At 37.5% G+C, this 27,546-nt stretch overlaps 1 protein-coding gene across 9 annotated transcripts in view, besides 2 other annotated features; it reads right to left on the reverse strand.

Moving 5' to 3' along the window:
- The window catches only part of MYSM1 (Myb like, SWIRM and MPN domains 1), a 45,320-nt gene extending 18,365 nt beyond the window's left edge, over nucleotides 1-26,955 (reverse strand). For 4 of the 9 annotated variants that reach the window (XR_946533.3, XM_006710314.4, NM_001085487.3 and 1 more), the window contains exons 1-11: nucleotides 26,878-26,955; nucleotides 22,022-22,100; nucleotides 19,754-19,824; nucleotides 17,233-17,310; nucleotides 17,119-17,142; nucleotides 15,931-16,009; nucleotides 12,046-12,144; nucleotides 8,678-9,438; nucleotides 3,819-3,949; nucleotides 2,370-2,473; nucleotides 466-543 (exon numbers count right to left, since the gene is read on the reverse strand). Coding sequence is in view for 8 of the 9 variants with exons in the window: in XM_006710314.4 (XP_006710377.1) it covers nucleotides 466-543; nucleotides 2,370-2,473; nucleotides 3,819-3,949; nucleotides 8,678-9,438; nucleotides 12,046-12,144; nucleotides 15,931-16,009; nucleotides 17,119-17,142; nucleotides 17,233-17,310; nucleotides 19,754-19,824; nucleotides 22,022-22,100; nucleotides 26,878-26,945 (1,572 nt within the window). In the remaining variant the exon portion in view is untranslated. Of the gene's footprint in view, nucleotides 1-465; nucleotides 544-2,369; nucleotides 2,474-3,818; nucleotides 3,950-8,677; nucleotides 9,439-12,045; nucleotides 12,145-15,930; nucleotides 16,261-17,118; nucleotides 17,143-17,232; nucleotides 17,311-19,753; nucleotides 19,825-22,021; nucleotides 22,101-26,515; nucleotides 26,566-26,877 lie in introns of those variants that run through there. The other 5 variants (XM_011540573.4, XM_047443717.1, XM_011540574.3 and 2 more) reach the window with 5 other exon arrangements.
- Nucleotides 26,450-26,509: an enhancer, noted in NCBI's record as "active region_1086". NCBI's record gives its function as "activates an Ori minimal core promoter by ATAC-STARR-seq in GM12878 lymphoblastoid cells {active_cell/tissue: GM12878}" and the evidence as "EXISTENCE:reporter gene assay evidence [ECO:0000049][PMID:35858748]".
- Nucleotides 26,720-27,129: an enhancer, noted in NCBI's record as "active region_1087". NCBI's record gives its function as "activates an Ori minimal core promoter by ATAC-STARR-seq in GM12878 lymphoblastoid cells {active_cell/tissue: GM12878}" and the evidence as "EXISTENCE:reporter gene assay evidence [ECO:0000049][PMID:35858748]".

Genomic DNA, 27,546 nt, shown 5'->3' on the forward strand with positions numbered 1-27,546 from the left:
AGATTAAGTAGTTGCTTAAAGTAACAAAGCCAGTACGTACACATTCACACATTCTATCCATTCTACTGCACTAGCTGTTACAAAAAATATATATATTTAGAACACATGTGTGTCTAATGTCTAATGCTTAGAACAATATTTTAATTGGTATATCAGAACCTCTTCCAATAAATGTTTAATGAAACGAATTGGGCATACCAACTTCTTGACACCCTTATCTTGAGTTAGAGACAAGAATACAGAGACAGAGAATCCAAGTTCTGAAATGAGTTAAACTCCTAGTTAACTGCACCACCAATGCCTTCTACTTTGGTGTTTACTGGTGACTTCCAGACAAATTAACATGGGAATGAACACATACATGTTAATGTATGAAACAAGTACAATACATATGACATTAAGATGTACAAATATATATTTAAAAACCAGTTTTCATGGATGAGCCATTTGAAAGGTCAAAGTTACCTCAAACGTTTGTCCTTCTAAGTCCTTTGCATCACACCAGTTTCCCCATGGGTCTCGGACCCTACGTCTCCTTGTACGCTGCGATGAGATTAAAGTAAAGCAAAAGGTAGCAAGATTAATATGGAGAAATCATAGCACATTAATACACAAAATGAAAACAATAATTATCTAAAAGTCAATTAATCTATCAATTTAAATAGTATAACCTCTGGCAATGACTGACTAAACTTTATTAATTTATGTTCAATAGTTAGCACTCTAGTTACAAATATAATAAATCAGTGATGGCGAGGTAAGGGCAGGAGCACCAGTAGCAGGTGGGCAGGGTGTGGGCTGGGTGTTGGCACCAGAGGGCTATTTAAAAAATAAGATCAGTAATGATTTTCTGTATTTTGCTAGCATTTCTTCTTAGCTTTTATATTTCCTTTCATCATGTAGGAGCTAAAACACTATGACAAAATTTTGGGTTTTTTTTGAGACGGAGTCTCACTGTGTCGCCCAGGCTGGAGTGCAGTGGCGTGATCTTTGCTTACTGCAACCTCCCACCTCCCGGTTCGAGTGATTCTCCTGCCTCAGACTCCCGAGTAGGAACAAAAATATTTTTAAGATCAAAAAGAACCATCAAGAAAATGGCTTCCTTTTCAACCACTTGTGGTAGAAAATCTGCAAGAACACACAGCAAGAGGTATAATATTGAAAACTAGAAGCAAAATAATTATTATTTCCAGCTTTAGAAAGGAGGTGGCCTAGTTGATCAAATAATGAGAAATTACAAAGTTGGTTGACTACATTATTAAAATCCAGTTTTGCAAACCTCAATAGTGAGGCCTTTAAAATGGACCAGTTGCCAAAGGATAGTGTATGACTAGCACCATATCCAGCAACTCTAATTGATAACATCTTTAAGATAGTAAATCTAGATAGAAATGGTTTATAGCCTAAATACTCTGAGAAAAACAGCTATTTTAGCACCTATACTTTCTTTTTCATATCTTATTTATTACTAATTTAATCCATTAGTAAAACTAACAGGATCATATTATGACTCTGCCTTATAAAGAGTGTTGGATCGGCTGCACACGGTGGCTCACGCCTGTAATCCCAGCACTTCGGGAGGCCAAGGCGGGCGGATCATGAGGTCAGGAGATCGAGACCATCCTGGCTAACAAGGTGAAACCCTGTCTCTACTAAAAATACAAAAAAAATTAGCTTGGTGTGATGGCGGGCACCTGTAGTCCCAGCTACTCGGGAGGCTGAGGCATGAGAATGGTGTGAACCCGGGAGATGGAGCTTGCAGTGAGCCGAGATGGCACCACCATACTCTAGCCTGGGTGACACAGCGAGACTCTGTCTCAAAAAAAAAAAAAAAAGAAAAAAAAAGTGTTGGATCACATTTTTATTTGTTTTTTTTTCCCCTCGAGATGTTTCTTTTTCTCCTAGTAGGTCACTTTATTTTTAAAGTATGATTTACGAATTTTAAAATATTATAAAACTGACTCCAAGAATAAAAAAAAAGTCTAGTTATTCCAAAAAGGTGATTCTTAAGGTTAAGAATTTTAAAAGAAAAATCAATGAGAGAAAAAAAAACTGAACTATATATTTTTAAAAGACACATTAGATTTATAAATTAAAACGAAGCATCCCAAGACCACTTTAGGAAAACATTATGCTTCTGCATCAAGTTTGCTAGTACATTTTAAGGGTTTTTAGGTTTGTTTTTGCCTCAGAAAGCAACATGAAATTGAATGAAACCCAGAAAAGCGAATTGCTAAGGTGAAACACAAGAGGAAACATGTTTTTCTACTAAATGGTCATTTATTAAACAGCTCAAGGTAAGTACGTAAACCACACTAAACAGAGTAAGCAGCAATGTGGAGAGATCACTGAGAGAGATGACTGCTTACCATAGACTGCAGACGCTGGGCAAGTTGGTATGCTTCTACTGCATCTTTTCTGTCTCTGATTCGTACTTTGTCAACTGTTTGTGGCCTATTATACACAGCCTGTTCTATTGGAATTCAGGAAAGATAAAACCATCTATTATTTTGTGAAACTCATTTGTTAAACAGTAAGACACATGTACACTGACTATAGTGGGGCTTCTATGACTCTTATTTCACGATCATACATTTGATGTGCTACTGAGCACCCCTCAAATTAAAAGTAATGCTGTTATTATAAGAAAATCTTAATAAATGGAATATTTAGAAAATGGGTAGTTTGCTAACTTTGGCAGTCTAATACAGAAAACATGATTTAATTTTTCTTTTGGTGGCTGAGGAAGCAAAAATCCTTTAGTTTTCCTGAAAAGCTAGTCTCAATATTCAAGGCTTTGGGAAAACAAAGACACTGAAATGAAGGACAGATTCCCGGGCAAACTAAATTCTATCTAGCTCAATATAAAAGAAAATCATATCTGACAGAAAATCTTCTTGTTAGTTGTCTCCCTTTCATAGACAAACACAGAATATACTCTTCTTAAACCATGGGTTACAAGGTTTTATGTACCTTATCACTTTGTAGCTATGAATGGTTGTGTCATTTTAATTCAATAAAAGAGTAGAGGTCAGGCGCGGTGGCTCACGCCTGTGATCCCAGCACTTTAGGAGGCTGAGGCGGGCAAATCACGAGGTCAGGAGTTCGAGACCAGCCTGGCCAATATGGTGAAACCCGTCTCTACTAATCATACAAAAATTAGCCAGGTGTGGTGGCATGCGCCTGTAGTCCCAGCTACTCTGGAGACCGAAGCAAAAGAATCGCTTGAACCCGGGAGGCGGAAGTTGCAGTGAGCAGAGATCACACCACTGCACTTCAGCCTGGGCAACAGAGCGAGAAAAAAAAAAAAAAAAAGAGTAGAATATATTTTAAAATATGTATATTCATTAACTTTAAATTTGAAAAAAACTAAGGTACAATTGTCTTCCACAAAAAATATTTTGACGCTTTTATCACATGTAAGTGTAGAGGCTCACAAATTATTTCCTTTATTTAAACATTGCTAGGTAGTATTTCTAGCATGAATACAGTATTTGCAAATTAAATGGGCTATTATTAGACTTTTCATAAAATAATTTTACTTTTATCTGCTAAAGAACTGTATTCTTAAATTATTTCTATTACTTAGATTGAATATTTTACCTTTAAAGTTACACTCTCAATTTTCAGTGTAGGTCAAATGAAAACACAGTTTAACCAACAGTAAAATCTTAATAAAACATTTATTAAATAATGTTACAGCACCTCTGAATTCTATATACCTATAACTACTTGAATTCTAACCATCATAGAAATGAATAAGTGCTGTAAGGATAAAAAATGTCGAGTAAAAGATGTTGTTGGGTTTTTATTTTTACCACATCCAAAATTGATTGCTCCTATCAATTCGAGGTATGTATGAATCCGTCCAATACAATTAACATCTCCACAGTTCTTCAGGCCAGGACGTACTGAGGTCTTATTTAAGTATTTTGGTTTGCATATCTCCCTAATTAAGAGACAGAAGTACAATTATTTTGGATAAATAAAAACGTGAAAAAAGATTTCTGGGGAAAACTTTCAATATTTGAAATATCTCTAAATTTTAACCCCTTTCAATGTATAAATGTGTAATAAATACAATACTAATACATAATACCCATGTACTTTTTTTCTGAAATAAAATATCCTTAAATGATACAATAACTTATTAGCATAATTTTTTACAAGCAATATTTCTTCCCCAATGTTAAATTCATAGATTCCAGTTATCCCAGGACCTTGAATTCAGAAATTTATGTACAGACACAAATTGAATCTTTAAATACAAAGAGCAGTTTGATAATATATAGAAAAGATTTAGTATTAGACGTTTCCAATTTGTAATATATTACTTAGATTCATCTACTCTTATTTTGCTTAACAGTGTCTTTCAATTATCAGCTATCTTACAAATGCTTAAACATTTTATATTTGTTTTTAATTATGATGACAACAAATATTAAGTGCTTACTCTCAGTGGAAAACAGAAACAGACGTTATAAGGGATTCCAAAGGGGAAATCAAGAAACTCCCAAAGATTATGAAAGAAATAAGAGGTTTATATAATAAAACACGTATTTATTGAATATACTTAATGTACCTTGCTAGATGGTACAACATAAAATTCGAGTAATAAAGAACTTAGTAGAAACTAATTACTGAATGCTTAAGCCAGATTATTGTGCTGAGTTACACATCCTTAATCTTTACAACTATACAAGGTAGATTTTATTAATATTATTCTCATTTTGGAAATGAGGAAGCAAGGGGGTCAGAGTAAAGCACTTACTTAAGGAAGGGACATAATCAGGATTCAAGTATAGATATTATAAATTTAGGTATTCAGATATCTCATATAACATGGGTATTTCTCATTCGATCATTATTTTATTCCATGAATATATTGTTCTAAGCACTAGAGATACACAGATAATGTAAAATTTCTAACCTTACAGATCTTACATTCTAATGGGAGGGACTGTCAATAATCAATGAACCATATATATTACACTTTCAGGTAGCAATAGTGCTAAGTAAGAAGGTCAAGGGGATAGAGTGGGACAAACAGGCATAGACTACTTTAGATAGATAGGGTGCTTAGGCTAGGCCTCACTAAGCAGAATAGAGGGTAAAAATAATTTGTGATGTGGGAGGGTACCACACCTTCCATAGAAACGTTGAGATTTCAGTGTGTCTTGCAAGAAAATGAAACAAAATTGTACAAATGAAAGCAATAAAGCAGGCAAGAGTATGGCTACCAAGAAACCAAAGGAGTCTGAAAAAACTAGACTGAGCTAACTGAAGACTACTCAAAGTAAAAGGCTTTAAACAGAACTCAGTAATCTAGCACAGTGCTGAACAAATGGTAAGGACTCTAAAAATATGTTCATGGAATAATGATTCATGTTCGATCTTTTCCCCCTAACAAATAAGAGTACCTTCTATATTCTGAGCATTGTTTAAGAACTAGATTCAACAACAAACAAAACAGATAAAAATCTGCCCTCATGTTGCCTGCATTATCATGGGGGTTGAGGGGAGAAGAGACAGTAAACAAATAAAAATGTAATTATTTGTGGTAGTAATAAGTTCTATAAAGAAAATAAAATACAGGGCAAGAGAATGAAAGGGAGGAGATATGTGAGATATTTTAGATAAGCCTCTAATTTCCCTCGACCAGATTTCAATGAGACAAGAAAGCAACACTTGACAAAATATGGGGGAAGAACATCCAAAGCAGAGTGAAAAGTCAGGGTCAAGGCCATGAGTTGGAAGTGTGAAAATAATGAGTCAAGACTGCAGACTCCAATATCTCCTTTACCTAGTGTGACCTGGAAAAGTTTTTTATCCTCTGTGAACCTCATTTTTCTTATCTATAAAGTGAGAACGAGGTTGTCAAAAGGATTGGAGATGATTTAAGTACAGTACATGGTATTCGGGAGGCATTCAGTAATGGTACTGGTTACTATTTTAATAAAAATATTCCCCTAACCAGGGAATCAACTGCATCTGCTTTTATGAAAAGAATCTTTATCTATAAACAAATCTGGCAGGCTTCTTTTTATTTCAAAACTTTAACTCTTCTATTTTTTTTTAACACCACCTCCAGTGCCTAACCACTCACTCTCTTCTATTTCTGAACAAATGTGAGTTCCTGTTCAAAACAATTTTTGCTTTCACAATGTTCTGCTAAATCACCATAATGAAATAGCAATACCTAACCAGTTTCATGAACCAAGGCAAATGACTTAGGAAACTATTGCCATGTAATTTATAGTACCTATATAAATTAATCTGCCTCATTTGGAATTCAAAATTCAAAGTAACAAATATAGAATTTGATTAAAGTAACAAGAATATAGTGATCATTCATATGGACATTTTTAAGAGACAGGATCTTGCTCTGTTGCCCAGGCTAGTGTACAGTGGCATGATCCCACCTCACTGCAGCTTCAAACTCCTGGGCTCAAGTGATTCTCCTGCTTCAGTCTCCTGAGTAGCTACAACTACAGGCACACAACACCGCGCCTAAGTTTTAAAAAAATTTTTTGTAGGGACAGGGTCTTGCTATGTTGCCCAAACTAGTCTCGAACTCCTGGCCTCAAGTAATCCTCTTGTCTCAGCCTCCAAAAGCACGGGGATGAAAATTGTGAGTCAGCCGGGCGTGGTGGCTCACACCTGTAATCCCAGAACTTTGGGTGGCCGAGGTGAGTGGATTACCTGAGGTCAGGAGTTCTAGACCAGCCTGGCCAATGTGGTGAAACCCAGTCTCTACTAAAAATACAAAAATTAGCCGGGCGTGGTGGCACGCACCTGTAGTCCCAGCTGCATGGGAGCTGAGGCAGAAGAATCACTTGAACCTGGGAGACAGAGGTTGCAGTGAGCTGAGATCATGCCAAGGCACTCCAGCCTGGGAGAAAGAGTGAGACTCTGTCTCAAAAAAAAAAAAAAAAAAAAAAAGGTTGTGAGCCACTACTCCTGACCAATATGGACATTTTTGAGTTAGTTATGATTTCAAGGTCCTTAAATTTTGGCCATTCACCCTCTTATTTCCAAAAACAAAAGTAGATACCAATAGAAATCTAATTTAACTAGTCTTTGTCATTAGTGTGAATTAGGCCATGTAGAATAAAAGAGTGATTTACAGACACATGAAGACTGAAGTCCTTCATGTGTCAGTGACTGGTTGTATAATCCAAGGCAGGTCCCTAAACCTCTCCTGATCTCAGAATCATTCTTTATCAAATAAACATAATACCATCTGCATTATTTTACAGGATTGTTTTAAAAAATCAAGTAAGATGATGTAGCAAAGCTCTTTAACAACTATAAAGCACTATGTAAAGTCAGGAGTTGTTCCTTGCAAGTATTCTTTACTATGATGCCAACCTAACCCACATGTTGTACTTTCAGCACCTCCACCATCTGTAAGATAACTCAAGAACAAACCTCCTCCTTTAAGAATACAGCCATCTTTAAAAACCAAAGACTTATATTGTGTGGGTAAAATGAAGGTTACCGATTTATTATAGCAAGTTGTTTTCCTTTGGTAACCCTTCTAGGTTACAGCAGGAAGTTAACAATAGCAATAGGACAGGAAGGCTTTCCATACAAAAGAGAACAAAGGACAAAGCAGAACCCCTGCTCAAGGAACTAGGAAGCTCTCTGTAAAGATGGCCCTATACAATTTGATAGCTTCTGAAACAGAATTAGCAATTATGATTTTTAAAAATAATTTTTTTTTTTTTTTGAGATGAAGTCTCGCTCTGTCGCCCAGGCTGGAGTGCAGTGGCACGATCTCGGCTCACTGCAACCTCTGCCTCCCAGGTTCAAGAGATTCTCCTGCCTCAGCATCCTGAGTAGCTGGGATTACAGACACCTGCCACAATGCCCAGCTAATATATATATATAGTTATTTTTAGAAGGGACAGGGTTTCACCACGTGGGCCAGGCTGGTCTCAAACTCCTGACCTCAAATGATCTGCCTGCCTCAGCCTCCCAAAGTGCTGGGATTACAGGCATGAGCCACTGTGCCCAGCCAGCAATTATAAATGTTTAATGATGGTTTAATTAAGCTGTTTTAAAAAATTCAAATTAGGCTAGTAAGGTGGGAAATTTTGGGGTTTGTTCCCTAAGCTTCATTAAATAATTCAAATAAACGGTACTGACAATCTAGAGAATAAGCTTCATCTATCAGAAAACTGTATCCTGATAAAACTGGATGAAGAAATTAATAGCACATTATTGTCACAAGTTCAAAGTTAAAAGCATTTAAGATCACTATTTAGAAGTGTTTCTGCAATCTGGCCACATTTAATACTACTGCTGTCATCAAATTTTTCTATCTTTGTACTCAAAGTACATGATAAACCGGAAAGAATTATTTCCCTTTTCCCGTGCAGTGGTGTTCTCTCTATATCTTCCTAACGCTGTCCTAGGAGACTGCTTCATAAAGCAATCGTCTATCCCTTTTATTCCAGGCCCACAATCTAATGAATAGGCAAAAAGATGGGTTATGAGAGTTATAGGTGATAATGTTTACCAAAGCTTTTTTTCATTACAAGAAATCTTAAATCTTCCCTACTGTAGTGATCTCTAGATTTACTAGCAAAATTCTAAATTCTGTATAGGCCTAATTAAAATACTTCAGAATATCACGTTTTAAAACAACATCTATAATGTAATTCTTTCTTACCATTGATCCAAAATATAATTTCTAATTTTCAAATAGCGTTCTGGTGTTTTAGCTTGGCGCCCCTCAAAAAACTCAGGAATTGCTTGTTTTTCTTCTTCTTGAATGATATTTCTATCTATTTCTATTTCCTGTTCTGGTGGCTTAAGCTCTTCTTCCTCATGGCTTTCCTCTACCATTTGGCAAGAATGAAAAAGCATTTCATTATCATTCAAATTTTTCTGAATTTCACAAGGCTCTGGAGAAGGCAACTGCCTGGCATCAACTATTATTCCCCTTCCATCATGCTTGTTGCAGTTTTTAATCAATTCATTAAATTTCTGGTCATTTAATTCAATTGATTTTTTGTCACCATTGCTCTGTTTCTCAGTCCACAGTGTAATTTCTGAGCTTGAAAGTGTTTCATCTTGCTTTTCATTTTGAAGACAGCCCCTGGAAGACTTAGAAAAGAGAGCTTCCTGGCTGTCAGAAGTAATGAATTCTCCTTGATTGGTTTCATGCATTTTACTATTAGGAAAGTCTAACAAGAGATCACTGCTAGAATTCTTCTGGGGTGTTTGAGAAGACAACTCGTCCACCTCATCTGTGATGTCTACTTCTTCATCATCAGATAACTTTTCAATTTTTACAGCATTCAAGTTGGGATCAGCACGTCCCCTTAAACATGATGGTGTCCATGCCTTTGTCCCTTTATCTTCATTTTTAACTTGAAGATTATGGCCGGTCTTCTGATTTGGTGTTTCTTTATCCAGACCGCATTTGACCTTATTAAAAATCAAAATAAAATCCCCATAATATTAAGATTTAAAAATTTAATCACTGGTACACACAAAAAAGGATAAATATACAGTGTTATTAAACTGAATACATGTAAATGGTACATTATACCTCTAATGCGCTTTTCTTTTTTTTCTTTTCTTTTTTTTTTTTTTGAGACGGAGTCTCGCTCTGTCACCCAGGCTGGAGTGCAGTGGCGCAATCCCAGGCCACTGCAAGCTCCAGCTCCCGGGTTCATGCCATTCTCCTGCCTCAGCCTCCCGAATAGCTGGGACTACAGGCGCCTGCCACCGTGCCCGGCTAATTTTTTGTATTTTTAGTAGAGATGGGGTTTCACCATGTTAGCCAGGATGGTCTCGATCTCCTGACCTTGTGATGCACCTGCCTCGGCCTCCCAAAGTGCTGGGATTACAGGCAATGTGTTTTTCTTTAAAGGGTTTATAATAACTGCATTTTAGACAAGATTGGGCACGTTCATGGTGGTAGGACCATAGACTACAACTGCATTTCAAATGTAAAGGATCACCATTTAAAATTTCTATAAATATATAACTAATTCATGGGTCTGGTGATTTTTATTAATCAAATAATCATGACCTATATTTACTACTTATTTTTCAATATTAAGTTGAAAACAGCAGCCTGGCTCAGATCAACTGTATGGAATAAACCAACAACTATCATACTAAGGTATCGTACAATATATTGAAATATTTTTAAAGGCTTCTCAGACTATGTGATACTGTAGCTGATTATTTCTTATAATGCTAAAATAATCCTTAATCTATCTGACATCTTCACTGAGTACATTAAAACTACCTTTCATTTAAATAAGGGACAACAGAAAACAAACTGTCTTTTGCAGGCTTATTTAATGAGCTTATATTATAGAGATTATATTTTAATGTGATACTTGAGAAAAAAAGAGAGATTATATTAAGCCATAAAAGTATCTCCCATACCTGCTACTACAGACATAAATATCTGGTAATGTAACAACAACAAAAAAAGATAATGAAAGTGAATGAGCAAATATAACATGAAATAAAATCCTTACCTACGAAGTTTTTAAAAAGTCTTATAAATGACTAACATACATAAGAGATATGACAGCTCTCAGAAACAGGTTATTTATAGATCCTGTATCACACAGAATTCCAGGATTAAATATTTGAGGTTAACTGGCTTACTATGTAGAGAATAAAAGGGTAGCAGGAGGGAAAGAGATTTGGACATATTGCCTGAAACAGCTTTTAACATCCCTGCTATTTATTTTAAGTATCCTGTCTATAATTTTAAAAATTCAGATGAAATTTTGCATTGATTTCATAATATACTAGTCTCTGTTACAATATGAAAAATGTATCCTTCTACCCCAGGTCTTTGAGTAAAACTGGCACTCCAAGATACATAGCATGTATCTTGGAAGCCTAAGAGTAAGAATAACCAAGTTAAGCTTTATTCTGTTCTGAGGTATTAACTAAACCCTGGTGAGCTGCCTTGAAAATGCTTCTGTTTGGTTGAAAGATGGAGCATACAATCGATGTATGATGAATCCATTCCATTAGTTACCACCTATGTCTAGACAACACCGAAACAAATCTTACCTACAGGGTAGAACTCATTATCTACATGAAGAGATAATATCAAATTTCACTCAAGACACTTACCAATTTTATATAATTATGTTCCTAGGCTTCAAAGAGGATATATTAAAAAATTCTAGGCCGGGCACGGTGGCTCACGCCTGTAATCCCAGCACTTTGGGAGGCCGAGGCGGGTGGATCACGAGGTCAGGAGATCCAGACCATCCTGGCTGACACGGTGAAACCCCGTCTCTACTAAAAATACAAAAAATTGGCCAGGTGTGGTGGCGGGCACCTGTAGTCCCAGCTACTCAGGAGGCTGAGGCAGGAGAATGGCGTGAACCTGGGAGGCCGAGCTTGCAGTGAGCCGAGATCGCACCACTGCACTCCAGCCTGGGCGACAGAGCAAGACTCTGTCTCAAAAAAAAAAAAAAAGAAAAAAAAAAAATTCTAAATATCAAAACGACATGGTTGCATATAGCACAAATTACTTGAAAGATTAAGAAACCAGATCACAATTAAACCTTTCTTAACACTGCAGTTTATTAAAGTTTCAGACAATTTTTCATAACAATTGTAAAAATTTCATAGCTATTTAACAGATTTCAGAGTCAGGATAGCATTTACCTCCTGTAAGCTCTAATAATTCTTAAAAGTTTCTACAACACAAATATTTTAAAAGGAAAAGTTATTTTCTAGAGGAAACAATAAGATAAGATCTCTAAGGTTTTCTCTTTGAAATACAATTTGCTTTATAGTATATTTTTGAGCAATTACTATTTTGTCCATTTAACTTTATAAAATTAAATAGAGTAACATGATACCTATTTAATGGCAATACTCAAAACACTGAAGATATCCTCTGAGGTTTTGTATAGTACTATGTGGGTATAAAATACTTTAAAAACTTTTACCAGTAAGACTTTAATGCCTGAATTAAAGAAATACTTCTGCTTAGTTTTTTCTAAATATTATCATTATTAACCAGGATACTGATATTCTGCTTACCTTATTTTTAAAATACTGTCTTGCATAACTCTTCACTTGTAAAACAGTGCGGCTTCCAATTAGCTTTGAAATTTTGGTCCATCTTCGGCCAAATTTAGCCTGTATTATTAAAATGGGAAAAAAAATTGCTTTTGATGAATTTACTTAAGAATAGTCCAAGCCACTACCACATTAAAAAAAAAAAAACTTAAAAAAAAATACATCTTTATTTTCTGAAGCACACAATAAAGTCTTCTATATAGACTATGCTCTTAAAATCAAAGCCTACATTCATTCTTTTGGAATCTGAACTACTGAAAACTGATGGAAATGATTTAGAAACTCCTTTTTAAAAAGAATAGCTATCTAAATGAAGATATTGCCTAACTGAATGAATTCATATTGTAAGTTATAATGTTCCATATCTAAAATAACTTTTTAAAATAAATAAGTGCCTGAAAGGGGTACAGGTTACATTTTCCATTTATACGATCAACTGAACATGTTCTGTGCTAATTTCAACACTTTTTTTAACTCAGATTCCCTATTTTGCAATATCCATTATGTATCTCACAGCAGAGACTTTTACTCTATCAGATATCACAGTGAACTGACCTAAAAGACTAAATCGATTAAATCACAAATGAGGAAGTCCTGCAACAAATGTCTTCTTTGTTAAGATGTTATAAGCCCCAAGTTCTAACTACCCGTTTCATTACTCATCAGAGTTTCTCTTGCATATGTATATGCTGCACACATCAACAAACTCTGGTTTTCTCCTGTTAATGTCGTTGTCAGTTTTTATTTCATTTTTGAGACAGGGTCTCACTCTGTTACCCAGGCTGAGTACAGTGGTGTGATCACGGCTCATGCAGCCTCAACCTCCTAGGCTTAAGCAATCCTCCCACCTCAGCCTTCCCAGTAGCTGGGACTACAGGTACGCACCACTTTGCCGGGCTAATTTTTTATTTTTTGTAGAGATGGGGTCTCACTATGTTGCCTACCCTCCAACTAATGCCTTCTGACACCTCCCACATCCAGGTGTCAAAGGCTGTGCACGTCATAACACTGAAGCTGTGGAGGGAAAAAAAAAAATGACAACTTGAGGGAGCTCCTGTGTGTTCTCAAGCACAGAAAGGAACACATAATTTGACAGCTAAAAGGGACTGTTAGGTATCAAGTCTAACTATAATTTAATACGTAAATCCTCTCTGCAATATCCCCAACATAAGATATTCTCTACTTCCTAAGGTAGCTAAATAATTCTATATTTTTAGAATTCTTAAAACTATGAAAAAAACAAAAAACTAGCCACAACTTAGGAAAAGTTTTGTCAGATTTACAGGCCAGGCAGTCATGCCTTACGGTAGCAAATCATTTTCAAAGATCTCACCCAAGTGATAAACCTTAATTTAAGTAAATTTCTGATACTCATTAGAAAATATGACATATGGACAATTTCTTAAACTCAAAGTGCTTCTGAAAATTATTAGTAAATATAAATTAATTATTTAAGATTGCTCTTAACACCTAGCTGAGATCAACTTGATGAAAAACTACTTATCTTTATTGTGGGATGAAGACAAATAGATAACATTGGTAGGTAGCATGGAGCATTTGTGGAGACAGGACAGATCTGGATTAAGATATGATTAGTAGAAGAGTAGGGACTTGGGCACTAGAAAAATTGGGGAAAGAACACGAACAAGAGGAGCAAAGAAGCCAGGCACAGTGGCACATGTATGTGGTCCTAGCTACTCAGGAGACTGAGGCAAGGGGATCACCTGAACTCAGGAGTTCAAAGCCTGGGCAGCATAACGAGACCTTGTTTCTTAAAAAAAAAAAAAGAAGATAAAAAAAGGAGCAAAGAAAATATTCACCAGTTTCAAAATAGAGCAAAGGGAGAGTCCCATGCCCAAAAAAGGGAAGGAAAAAAGCCTTTCTTCATCAATCAGTACCACCCAAGTCCCTACTCCCAAGCCTGAGAGAATTCAGTCTGTAAGCAAACTTTATCAATGGTTTAAAAAAAAGCTGAAAATACAACTAATAATTCCATGCTTGTTGTGTAGGAAAACATTCCAAGTTTAAAATCTCCCTTAATGTAAATAGACAGAGGTCTACATATCTCTATATAAATAAATACATATTTACTTATATATGGACAAATATCTCTGGAAGAAAACACAAAGAAGACACTGGTTACCCCGGGCGAAGCGAACTGAAGGCTAAGATGAGAGTGAGAAGACTTAATACCCTATAACTTTAGGAACCTTTTGAATTTTAAACCATGCAAATGTAGTCCCCATAAGTACCACCAACATAAAAAATAACAACCCAAAAATGAACCTTAAATTCAATCTATTTGCAGATGTAAGCATATATGTTAGTACAAACTGCACCATGTTGTAAGCTCCCTGCTATTTTGCAGACCTTTGTCGAAGTGAAACATTTCACAGGGGTTCAGGCCATGAGAAGTATCCTGCCTAACCACCTGACTACAAGACAAACAAAGGCCCAACTAAAGAAATATCCCTATCCTATCTTGCTTGACAAAGGTCCAAAAAACACCTGAACACCACAACGACATCCCGCCGGAACAAGGGCCAGAACTGCCTCATCATGGGAACATCTTATCAATGTCCTGCTGGGCAGCAAGCCATACTGCCCAGACCTCTTCTGCCGATACCTATAAATTGCCCCAGGCTATAAGCAGCAGCGGGCTCTGGCATTAGGTTGGTCTCCCACTTCTGTAGGTTTTATGCTGGACATAAAGCCTGCATTTGCTGCTGAGCTGCCCTCCTTCTGCGTGTGTGTGTGTGTCTTTCTTTAACCCTCACCTCCTCTTTAAGACCTAACATTATGTATCTGGTCTTTGATAAGGGGCAAAACACCAAAGTTGTTAGGAATCTTAAATAAATGATTAATTAAAGTTAGATCATATAAATGATAATCATACAACACACTGAAATATCAATATAAAAAAAAAATCACCAGTATAGGAACAAGTCTTGAAGAGATAAAAACCTCAAGATCATTTATATATTTATATAAGAATATCATACAGTATACAGATCTCATGGTGTTGACTAAAATACAAACACAAACATTTTATTCTCATCATCTGTAGAAATGTTAATGATACTTCAATTAGCATACATAAATTTTATATATACAAATATTCTATATATGTAATGTATAAATATACATAATTTCAAAATTACTTAGAACATTACTAGGTATCATGCACCTTAAAGGAAAAGATATAAACTAATCTTGATAGTAAAAAAATTAAAAAAAAATCCTAAGTATTTTTTTTTAAAGTTTCTTCATATTAAGGGGTATTTTCAGAATTAGAAACCAGAATACGTATCTTTTCCATTATGCAACTTGTGAACATTTAAATAGATTTCAGTGTAATAGACATTCACGCAAAAAAAAAATGTTTCTGGTCTTCATTTAGAGTCGCTGAAATATTTAGACAGTGTATACAATGCCAAATTATCTGAATAAAAACTCAGCTGATCACCCCAACAGTTTCAAATATACAAGTTTTTATTTTATTTCAAAAAAAAAAAGAGATTACTAAATAATTTTGCCTTTTAATCCAGGTAGTTGGTGTCATGTATACAGATATACCTCAATTTCTTGGATTTTGATAATACCACAAGAACGTGAAAACTACAGATCTAAATCTATTTTAGTATTTTAGTACCTTAGATCTAAGTTAAAAGGAATTCTCTTGCACTACACTATAAACATCATTACTCTAACTACAGAAGAACTAAAGGTGTTAAAACTGTAATTAAAAAGAAAATTCAGGTCTCTATAAATTAATTTAACCTTATAACTTTACCAATATTTGCTTCTAGAATTATTTTACTAAAAATTTAAAATTGCTCTATTTACCAGCCCTTGTTCAAACAGCTCTTTTTCTTCTATCGTCCACTTTACTGAGTAACTGGCTGGTTTTGTAGGAGAGTGTACCCTGAGGGGAAAAAAAGGAATTGCAAAAAAAATTTCTGAAATGGAACATTCCATATTTATGTAACTAAAGGTTATAGATAGCCATGGGCTAAATTCAATACTTTGAGTCTAGGAATTAAAAATAAACAAACAAACAAAACAAGAAGGCTACAGCCTCTACCTGGGGGCAGAGATTTACCCTGTCACGTGTCTCTAGCTCAGGATGATGGGAGCCCCAAAAGACATAATCCTTGGGTCTGAGTGAGGGTAACACTAAAAGACATCAAAGGAAGTCAATGTGATAACAAACAAATAGGCTCCCTTAGACTGGATACAAAGCAGCAGGTGTTAATACATTCCCAAATCCTGAAAGGCATGTAAGAGTTTAAATTGGTTCCACAAATACTATCTCTTTAGTTCTTTCATGTAAATCCATGTAAATATTTAGAAAAGAAGTCAAAAACTACAGCATTGTATTTATTGCTTTTAAAATTCATTATCTCAAGGAATTAAAAATAAAACTGATGAAGCTCACTAATTTAAGCAACCCATTAATCCTTTTGTTAACTTCATTTCATTGTTTATTCAGCAAAATACAAAAGCAAAAGGCTGCTCAGTACTCAACCTCTTGGGCAATTGCAAATACGTAAACCACCCTTTAAAGGACCATAAACTTCCAAAGTCATAAATGCTAAATAATGTTTTTTCAATTATAGGGAAAGGATATTTTTAAAATAGTTAATTTCTCCAGATAATTTTTGAAAGCCACAAATCCAAATGAAAATTTTGTTGAAAATAAGTGAAAATTAACTGACAGAGTAAAAGAAATCAAGTCAATTCCAATATATCACATAACAGCTTCTCAAAATTTCCCCATAAACCCCTGGACAACCATATTTTTCACAATCTGAAAGAATTGCCTACATAGGGCCATGAAAGAAATTCTGGCAAGTAAATAACACCATAAAATTATACTTGTGCCACTCCAACATCTTTATTAAAAAAACTGTTTTTATATCTACTTTAAGGTCAAGAGGGCTTTTCCACAGGCCAACTATAATTAAAAAAAAATTATTCCATAATTTTTAACTAATGAAAACAGATTTATAAATATAAAATATAAGTACATACATGATTTTTGCTGTTTTCTGCAGACTGCATCACATGAAAAAAGAAAATAAGGAAGCGTGTGAGGTTTCTAAAACTACAATCCAGACTTTTAGAAATATTATAAATTGATTTTACCTCTTCATGTATTTTTTATCATCTTCCTTTTGATCAAGCCAGACTTTTTCCGGTTGTGATTTTTTAGATAAATAATATCTGTGTAACTATCAAGGAAACTTTTTAAACAATATTACAGTCATGTAATTTTTACATTACTTATACAAAACGTGTGCTACATAAATGTTATTAATAGTTCCCTTGTCTTCCCAATTAGAAGTGACTACAAGAAACAGCCTCCATGTTTAAATCAAGCTTGTCCAATCCTCTGCCTGCAGGCTACATGTGGCCCAGGACGGCTTCAAATGTGGCCCAACACAAATTCGTAAACTTTCTTAAAACACCATGAGATTATTTTGTGATTTTTTTTTTTTTTTTTGGCTCATCAGCTATCATTAGTGTATTTTATGTGGGGCCCAAGAAAATTCTTCTTCCAGTGTGGCCCAGGGAAGCCAAAAGACTGGACACCCTGGTTTAAATATTTTCTTCCAAAACATATGGAGAATGTAATAGGTAAACTTGGTTGGTTGTCCAAGGCAATTCGGGAATAATTTTCCACATTTCTAAAGCCAACAGAGAAGAATCCAAGGATCTTCTCTACCTTAATAAAAATTGCAAACATTTAGATCAAATCTACCAGAGAACTTCCCTCTTAAAGTTATTAGAACTAGCCTGATGAGGCCAGGCGCGGTGGCTCACACCTGTAATCCCAGCACTTTGGAAGGCCGAGGCAGGCGGATCACAAGGTTAGGAGATCGAGACCATCCTGGCTAACACGGTGAAACCCCATCTCTACTAAAAAACAGAAAAAATTAGCCAGGCGTGGTGGCGGGCGCCTGTAGTCCCAGCTACTCAGAAGGCTGAGGCAGGAGAATGGAGTGAACCTGGAAGGCGGAGCTTGCAGTGAGCCAAGTTTGAGCCACTGCACTCCAGCCTGGGCGACAGAGCGAGACTCCGTCTCAAAAAAAAAAAACAAAAACAAAAAACTAGCCTGATGAAGTACTTTAAGATTAGCCTGAGATATTCTTCACTTAACAAGTATTTATTGGCTATCTACTGCATATGTCAGGTACTATGCTAGGTATAGATGCTGAGAACAAAGATACTCTCATTATTTGTTTCCATATCTAGAAGTGAACCACTGACTACTTAAGTGTTTTATCTAGACAGTGGCCACCAACCACATGTGCATCGCTGGTTTCTGACCAGTGGAAACACTATTTGCATGAACTAGGATGTACTCTAAGTATAAAACACAGTGGATTTTGGCCGGGCGCAGTGGCTCACACCTGTAATCCCAGCACTTTGGGAGGCCGAAGCAGGTAGATCCCGAGGTCAGGAGTTCAAGACCAGCCTGGCCAACATGGTGAAACCCCATCTCTACTAAAGATACAAAAAATCAGCCAGGTGTGGTGGTGTGCGCCCATAATCCCAGCTACTCAGGAGGCTGAGGCAGGAGAATCGCTTGAACCAGGGAGGCAGAGGTTGCAGTGAGCCAAGATCGCACCATTGCACTCCAGCCTGGGTGACAAGGCGAGATTCCGTCTCAAAAAACAAACAAAACAAAACACAGTGGATTTCAAAGACTTAGTACAAAAATGTAAAATTATCTCATTAATGTTTTTATCTTGATTAAATGTTAAAATGAGAATATTTTAAATATTTTAGGTTATATAATATATAGTTAAAATTAATTTCCTTTGTGTTAAATGAGGATATCGGAAAATTTTAAATTATATGTGACTTTCTCTGAATAGCAATAATCTAGGCTATAACTGCAATGTCTGGGGAGAATTAGAGAATAAGAAAGCCTAAATGGGGTTAACCTATGATAATTAAAGGTACAGAGACACTCTAAAATCAACATGGCAATAAGTGGAAATAGTGGGAACAGAGAAATTCTGGCTTAGTAAGGAGAAATCCATAAAATGAAGATGAAGGAGATTAATAAACCACTACTTATTAGACTATGACTAGCTATCTTTATAAATCATAAAATCAGAAATCATTTCATTCAATCCTCTCCTTTTACATGTACGAAAACTGAGCTATAAATAAGGATCCACAAATGTAGGGAAAACATCTTCATTCTATAGTATTTGTTTTGTGCTTTTTATTTAGATTCCTCCCACGTAACACCTGTAAATTATGAAGTGAGAAGAACTTTTACATGTTCCAACTCTGTGCCCTTGGAAAATTAACATCTCTGGGTTTCAGCTTATATAACTTAAAAATGCAAGCTTGGACTTAAGGTTCAAAATGACTTAAATATTCTATCATTTCTACTCAATATTCAGATATCATAAACAGTTGGCTAGTGACAGAAACTCAAAATATGCAATCAGATCTCAGATGTTACAGTAAAACAGAACCTGAGGAAGAAAATGCTGCTTTTTGCATACATAGGTAACATGAAATTATATAATAGCAGTCTGGTGCTGTATAAAATCCATCTAGTAAACAGTGGCCTCTTGTAAATTTTGCATTTATAGATTTTTTTCACCCTGAAACCTGTACTTTCCTCATAATCATTAAAGGATACTCTTCTTCCAACAACATTTTCTCAATAACAGCTCTGTTCTCTTCACTGATGGTGTTATCCAAGGTCCAAGGCTATTAAAAAAGAGAATATATTTGTCTTTTTATTTATTGCTTTTTGAAATTATCTTCTGTTTTGGTAAAGAAAAATACATGTTATAATGATTATAAATGACAGTCACCATTTACTGAGCACACAGACATATTTTTGATTACCACAGTAACATTGAGATAGGCATTAATACTTTACAGAAGCAACCACAGCACTACTAGCATTTTAAGTGGAAGAGCAGAGACTTTACACCTGAGTCTGTTGGATTCCCAGGCTCATGCTCCTGCCCAGGATGAGGTAATAATCGCCATTCAAAAAAGGAATCATTTGTTAGGCATCAGACACTCTGTCAGACACTTAACCTCTTTCCAAAACTCACCACTAACTCTCCTTTTTCCTCAGTTACAATCTCCATGATCCTACTCATTTTCAACGCTCCAAGTTAAGTATTTTCAGCTCATATCTCTTCTTCAAGCTCTAGGCCATAATACCCAACAGCCCATCCGAGATTTCTACTTGGATATCTAATTGGCTTCTAGAACTTAACATATCTAAAACAGAACTCACCATCACTTATCTCCACCTGCTTCTCCCTCTGCATTCCCAACTCTACGAAAGGCACTATTACTCACTAAGTTATTCCATGTAGAAATTCAGGAATCATTGTGGATTCTTTCCTTTTCCTTTGATGCCCATATCCAATCTATCAACCAGTTCTACCTCCAAAATATAATTCAAATCTATCTACTCTATCTCTTCTGCTACTACCTCAGGCCAAGTCCCAATCATCAAATCTTGCTTCCATTACCGTGAATGTTTCCTAACTGGTCCCTTTAACTCCACTCTTACTTCCCTCCAATCTTTACCACAGTACCCAAAATTAATTTTATAAAAATAAATTTGCTAATCTCTATTAAATCTATATGAAATGTTTCAATGATGTCCCAGTTCCTTTAAAACAAAATGTAAACCCTTTAGCATAATCCGACTCATAAGTCCTGCATGACAGAACTCTAGCCTGCCTCTCCAACCTTGCCACATGCTGCCACTCCTTCCTTTCCCACCATATTCTAGACACTGGCCTTCAACCAGAGCTTCTGTAGTTGCTGTTCCTTCTGCCTATAATTTTATTTTAACTGTTCACATATCTACCCTTTTTCCCATCATTTTCAACTTAAATCTCACCTCCTCTGAGATTCCCTCACTGACAATTTAATCTAAACTAGGTTTCCCACTCTGGTACTCTCATTCAGCATCTTGCTTATTTCCTTCAAAATCTATTATTAGTTTGTCTACCTGTTTATTACTTAACTCCCTCTTAGAAAATAAACTTCTTGAGAGCAGGAACACGTCTGTCTTCATTGTAGTCGTATTCTCCAAGCCTGACCTACTGACTGGCACCGAGTAAGTACTCAATAAGTAACTACTACATGGCCGGGCGCGGTGGCTCACGCCTGTAATCCCACCACTTTGGGAGGCTGAGGCGGGCGGATCACGAGGTCAAGAGATCAAGGTCAGCTTGGCCAACATGGTGAAACCCCGCCTCTATGAAAAATACAAAAATTAGCTGGGCGGGGTGGCACACGCCTGTAGTCCCAGCTACTCGGGAGACTGAGGCAGGAGAATCACTTGAATGTGGGAGGCAGAGGTTGCAGTGAGCCGAGATCACGAAACTGCAGTTCAGCCTGGCGACAAAGAGACTGCATCTCAAAAAAAAAAAAAGTAACTACTACATGAAGAAATAAGCCCTGTGACAATCCCATTTTTTTTTTCTCTTTGAGACCGGGTCTCATTCTGTTGCCCAGGTTGGAGAGCAGTGGCACAATCAGAGCTCACTGCAATCTCAAACTCCTGGGCTCAAGGAATTCTCCTGCCTTGGCTTCTCAAAGCACTGGGATTATAGGCAGGAGCCACCTTGCCCACCTACCACTTTTTTAGGTGTAAAGAAACTGAAGTTCACAAATTTGAGAAGTGGTAGAGCAAAGACCTGTACCTAAATCTAGCTGGCTCCAAACCTGTTTCTCAACAGGCCATTTTTCAATGTCAAAAGAAAGAGGTTTCTATTTTTAAAGTAAAAAAAAATTCTAAATTTCTAAAAAAGAAAAATATTATATCTGTGATAGTTGAGAACTAGCACTAAGTTTAAAAAAAAAAAAAGAAGAAGCACTCTAGGCAATAAATAACAGCTTAATGCACCTGATATTTTTATAAAATACTTACAATAAGGCCATTCTCTGTTCTCCAAGATGAATCAAGATAGTGATCTTTTTGTAAAACTGATGCTGTATTTTCACCACTTCTGTAATAATTAAGAAAATGAGTATATAAGTGAAAATCATATTAGTTAATGAATGTAACTTACACAGCACAGAATCCAGCAGGTAGTAAGGGAACTAAGCAAATACTTAGTTCCCTTCTCCCCTTAACAAACAGATTTAACATTGTGGAAATGCCTGCTCTACCTCTTTGGCCTGTGAAACACGTGGTAGTGCTAAGCTACCCCATCTCAATTGTGAAACATCAAGTCTGACTGCTCACTTCTTTTGGTTCTCGAGAATAAACAATCTCATGAGGAAAACAATACCCCAAAGCAGCAATCACAACATGCTCTGTGACTTGAACCAACAATGCAGTTTCAGCTGATTAGTACCAGTACCCATGTGTATACAGGAATTCAACTTTGTGATTAAACCTTTTAGCTGTATCTAAATTATAAAAACCACCATCAATAGCACCACCTATAAAATGAAAGAAAAAAAAAAAACTAGATGAGAGAACCAAAACAGAAAATACTCAAAGAAGGACAGTACAGTGAATAGATAAGAAAAATGTGGTTTTAATAACAACTCATATAATTTAAAAAATTAATTTGATTTGGACGCTTTTCAATGTCCATGGGAGATCAAACTTTTTAAATTATCTCACTCGTTTCATTAAGCTCCTAAGAGCTCTTTAAAGTTACATTGTTTACCCCATATTTGAAAAGGCTGAGTAAGTTTTGGGGGGCTCAATCCATGATATAAATTTAATATTTTGCTTCGTTATTGACTTTTTCTAGACCTTGTCTAGTGATAAGAATTTTCCATCTCTAAGACTGCAAAAACCTTTCAACAGGCTTATAAATCTGAATCTTTAATTAGGCAGTAGTTATAATAAATTGTGGGGCTAATGAACTATTCTCTAAAAGCAATCATTTCTCTCAACTGTTGATGGTAAATAGATTTAATCTTAAATGTCAACTATGATCTGGAAGAGGCTACCAGGAAGGGTAAATAAAGGATTCTGAGACTTTTATCAGCTCAAAGAAACCTTTGCTCAAGTAACTAGGTCTGCCAAGAGTTCAGAAAATAGAACCACTATCATTTCAAATTCACTGTAGAAATCTTTTTATTCCTCAATAAGAAGAATCAGCAACACTCATACTCTGGTAGCTACTTCTGGATCTCTACCTGAATCTCCATAGGTACCACATATTAGCATGTTTAAAGCTTGAAATCACCTTTCCTCCCAAATCTGCTACTCTTCTATTGTTCACCATCTCACTCAGTGGCACCACCATCTCCGTAGTTATCCAAGCCAGAAATCCAAGCCTGACCATTTTCTTCACAACCCCCATTTAATCTGCCCTAATTCTGCTGTTTCTCCCATTTTCCAAATCCAGTCCTTCCAGTATTTTCATACTACCTCTGAGGTCCTGTAGTTTCCAATCTTATATAATTTTCCTGGATAAATGTAAAAGATAAAGCTGACAAACCATTCACCTCCCCTCCTTTATCTTTCTCCACCCATCTCCATCTGACATATATATAGGATTGCTGTCTATGTTATCTAACAAGAATGTTCTATGAGAGCACAGACTTGGTTTTGATACACTGTTGTATATCAGTGCATGGCATGTAGAAGGTACTCAATAAAAATTTGTTGGACTAAATGAACAAGGTAGGTAGGGCGTGGATCACTCAGATCTCTGGTAGTTAAAGAATGAGGATTTTATCAAAAAACCAACTGGGGAGTGAAGAGAATAATATGATCAGATCTGGATATAAGAAAGATTACTCTGACTTCAGACTAGAACAGAATGGGGCCAAGGAGACGAGGAGCAGTTAAGAGGGAGAGATTTTAAAAATACTAGAGAAAGGTGACAATAACTTATAGCTACAGGACAATGTGAACAGGAAGAAGTGAATACAGTTGAGAAGATATTTAGACAGAATCAACAGCCCTAAATAACTGATAGGGTAGAGGAGTAGAAGGAGGGAGGTAAGGAATGATGAAGTTTAGGTCTGTGCTTTGGGTGACTGGGTGTGTGTAGGTGCCATTTACTAAACTAGGGTACAGTGAAGAGATCTGGTGGGGAAAATTTATAAGGTGAAACTGAGGTGCTTGTGAGACATCCAGGTACAGATAGATTCAGAGAACTGGATAAATGGATCTGTCACTTAAGAGAGAGATCTGGGTTGGTAACAGATTCGGGAAACATCAGCTGGCAGGTCAAAAATGGTTTAACACTGGTAAAATTTCATATGGTTCAACCTAACAAAGAGAAGTTGAAGTCTTAAGAGGGACAGTGTGGTCAGTGAATCAAAGTCCAATGAGAAAACTCCTTGCAACACTAGGAGTAAAGAACATAAGAAAAGGAGAATGAGACAGAATGGTAGAAGTAGAAGAGAAACCAAAAAAAAATTTTTTTTTTTTTTTGAGATGGCGTTTTGCTCTTGTTGCCCAGGCTAGAGGGCAATGGCGCGATCTCGGCTCACTGCAACCTTCACCTCCCAGGGTCAAGCAATTCTCCTGCCTCAGCCTCCCTAGTAGCTGCAATTACAGGCAGGTGCCACCATGCCTGGCTAAGTTTGTATTTTTAGTAGAGACGGGGTTTCTCCATGTTGGTCAGGCTGATCTCGAACTCCCAACCTCAGGTGATCCGCCCGCCTTGGCCTCCCAAAGTGCTGGGATTACAGGCATGAGCCACCGCACCCAGCCAACCCAAAAGTTTCAATACCATCTTCTAACTTTGACATCTAGCACTTACCAAGTGCTTAAAAGTGTCTATTAAATTAATTCTCAACGGTTTCACAGATGCTATAATATCAACTGTAACTACATACTTCAGAGAGTACCATCACACTAAATTCCATACGGTTGGAGCTCCAACACCACTGGACACTATTTATCAGACTATATATATATATATATATTTTTTTTTTTTTTTTGAGACAGAGTCTCGCTCTGTTGCCCAGGCTGGAGTGCGGTGGCGTGATCTCCGCTCACTGCAAGCTCTGCCTCCCGGGTTCACGCCATTCTCCTGCCTCAGCCTCCCAAGTACCTGGGACTACAGGCGCCCACCACCACGCCCAGCTAATTTTTTGTATTTTTAGTAGAGATGGGGTTTCACCGTGTTAGCCAGGATGGTCTCGATCTCCTGACCTCGTGATCTGCCCGCCTCGGTCTCCCAAAGTGCTGGGATTACAGGCGTGAGCCACCATGCCTGGCCCAGAATATAATATTAATGATACTCCTTGGGGTTGTATAAGACAATAATTGTAACCATCATCAGGAACCAATAACCTTTGTAATCCTGCTTGTTACCACAAGTGCCACCAGTAGACCTAGGCCTCAACTAAAATAGGAAGAAAGAGAAAAGGGGAAAAATGAAACACAATCAGAAAGATAAATCTATGGAAGAAGCATACAGCCAATGCCCTCAGGTGACCAATCTTCAGTGTTTCCAAGGCCAGCTCATTTCTTTCTAGACTGCAGATAAGTATCCCTGCCAACCTATTTCATTAACTTGTTGCGAAAAGTAAATTAAATCAAACATGCAAAAGCACTTGGTCAAGATTTAAACACTAAATGAATGTCAACAAGTATTGTTATTAAGGGCTCCCTACTCATCTGCAAAGCTTTGAGGGACAATGACCATATGAGTTTAATCACCCCTCACGTCTTTATAGGGCTTTAGAGTTCATGATACACTTCTAAACACACTATCTTAGTGCCTCAAGCGCTGGGTTAGTACTTCTCCCCTGTTCACAGAGGCCCTAATATTAGGCTGAACTACATGAAGTTGCCGCTTTATAGAACAAAAATGGTCTAAATATTGGCAATTTCATATGGTTCAAGCTAATACAGTTCTAAGGAAATTGTACATAATTATAAACAACATAGCTGGCTGACTTTAGAACTCAGGCTTTCTGATTCCTGGCTAGTCTAGGACTCTTCATGACTAAAAGGAGACTCATTTTTGATTCAGAAAGCAAGGAGTCAAAGGAGGTTCTGTGTCAAATCACACTGGGCTGTTTGTTCTGCTGGAACAGGTATTTTAAAAAATGTGATCCCTTACTGGATTCTCACAGTACTGTCCCCGAGGGTAACAGGATGGTAAAGAATACATTCAGAGGGCACCTACCGTATGCTAAAGCATATCTCATAATCATTTCATTTGATCCTCCCAATTACATATCATGACTCCCAGTTTAAATATGAGCAGTCTGAGGCTCAGACAAGTTAAGTGTCTTGCCCAAGGTCACATTGCTATTAACTGGTAGGGCGAGCAAATGCAGAAGGAAAACCCAGAACTGTCCAACTCTAAAACCTGGCCCATTTAAGTCAACCTGCTTCTCGGGAAGTTTTACAACTATCCCCATGTGGAAGAAGGGATGAAACGACTCGCCCAAGGTCACACGGCTAGCAAGCCATAGAACAAGAGTCCCTGACCTCAGGTCTCGTCCGTAGCCGCTCTTGTTCTAGTTACTGTCGATGAGATCCTGAAAAGGAGGGAACGGAAGAAGGAATCTAAATGTAAATCAAACGCAATGTGGTAGGCGAAATCGGTGCCCTCACAGCATCCGGCAAAAGGTGAAAGCGACCCAGGAGTACCTGAGCTCCAGGTAACCGCCCTGCCCGCTGGGCTTGGGACAAGCCGGCGGGCGAGGTGCCTCCCAGGCCAACAAGAGACCCTGGCCCAGGGGACAGTCTTCTGTTCCCTTTTCCCTTGCCGGACCTGCAGCTTTCCCAGGGCCCGCTCCTTCAATCCACTCCCCTCTCCGCCCCAGAGAGACCCGGTCTCTAAGCCTCACCCTGGCTGTGCCCCCGCCGCCGCTACCACGTCCCCTTCGATATCCACATCCGCCTCTTCAGCCGCCATGATGGGACCTGACCCCGTCCGTCCTCCCGAGAGATCCCGCGAGACGAAGATGGCCCGGGGGCAGGGCCTAACGCGTCACGGGGCGGGATTGAAGCGTCGTCCGGCCCCTCCCGTGCCGGGAGGCGGGGTTTCCAGAGCAAAGGCGCCCCCAGAGGCCTGGGGCTTGGTCCTTTCTAACTTGTTGACATGTAGAGACCTTGGGAAGTGGCCCACGCCTGAGCTTTTTTTTTTTGAGAGGGAGTTTCACTCTTGTTGCCCAGGCTTGGGTGCAATGGCGCGTATCTCAGCTCACTGCAACCTCCACCTCCCGGGTTCAAGCGATTCTCCTGCCTCAGCCTCCCAAGTAGCTGGGATTACAGGCATGCGCCACCACGCCCGGCTAATTTTTGTATTTTTAGTAGATACAGGGTTTCACCATGTTGCCCAGCTGGTCTCGAACTCCCGACCTCCCGACCTCAGGTGATCCGCCCGCCTCGGCCTCCCAAAGCTCTGAGATTACAGGCGTGAGCCACCGCGCCCGGGCCCTCCTGAGCTTCTAAGAGCTTCTGTTCTTGCACACATTCTTTGGGACCTCACTGCTCTCACTGATAAAATGGGGATA

This window comes from Homo sapiens, chromosome 1 (assembly GCF_000001405.40).
Source record: "Homo sapiens chromosome 1, GRCh38.p14 Primary Assembly".
NCBI classification, from domain to species: Eukaryota; Metazoa; Chordata; class Mammalia; order Primates; family Hominidae; genus Homo; species Homo sapiens.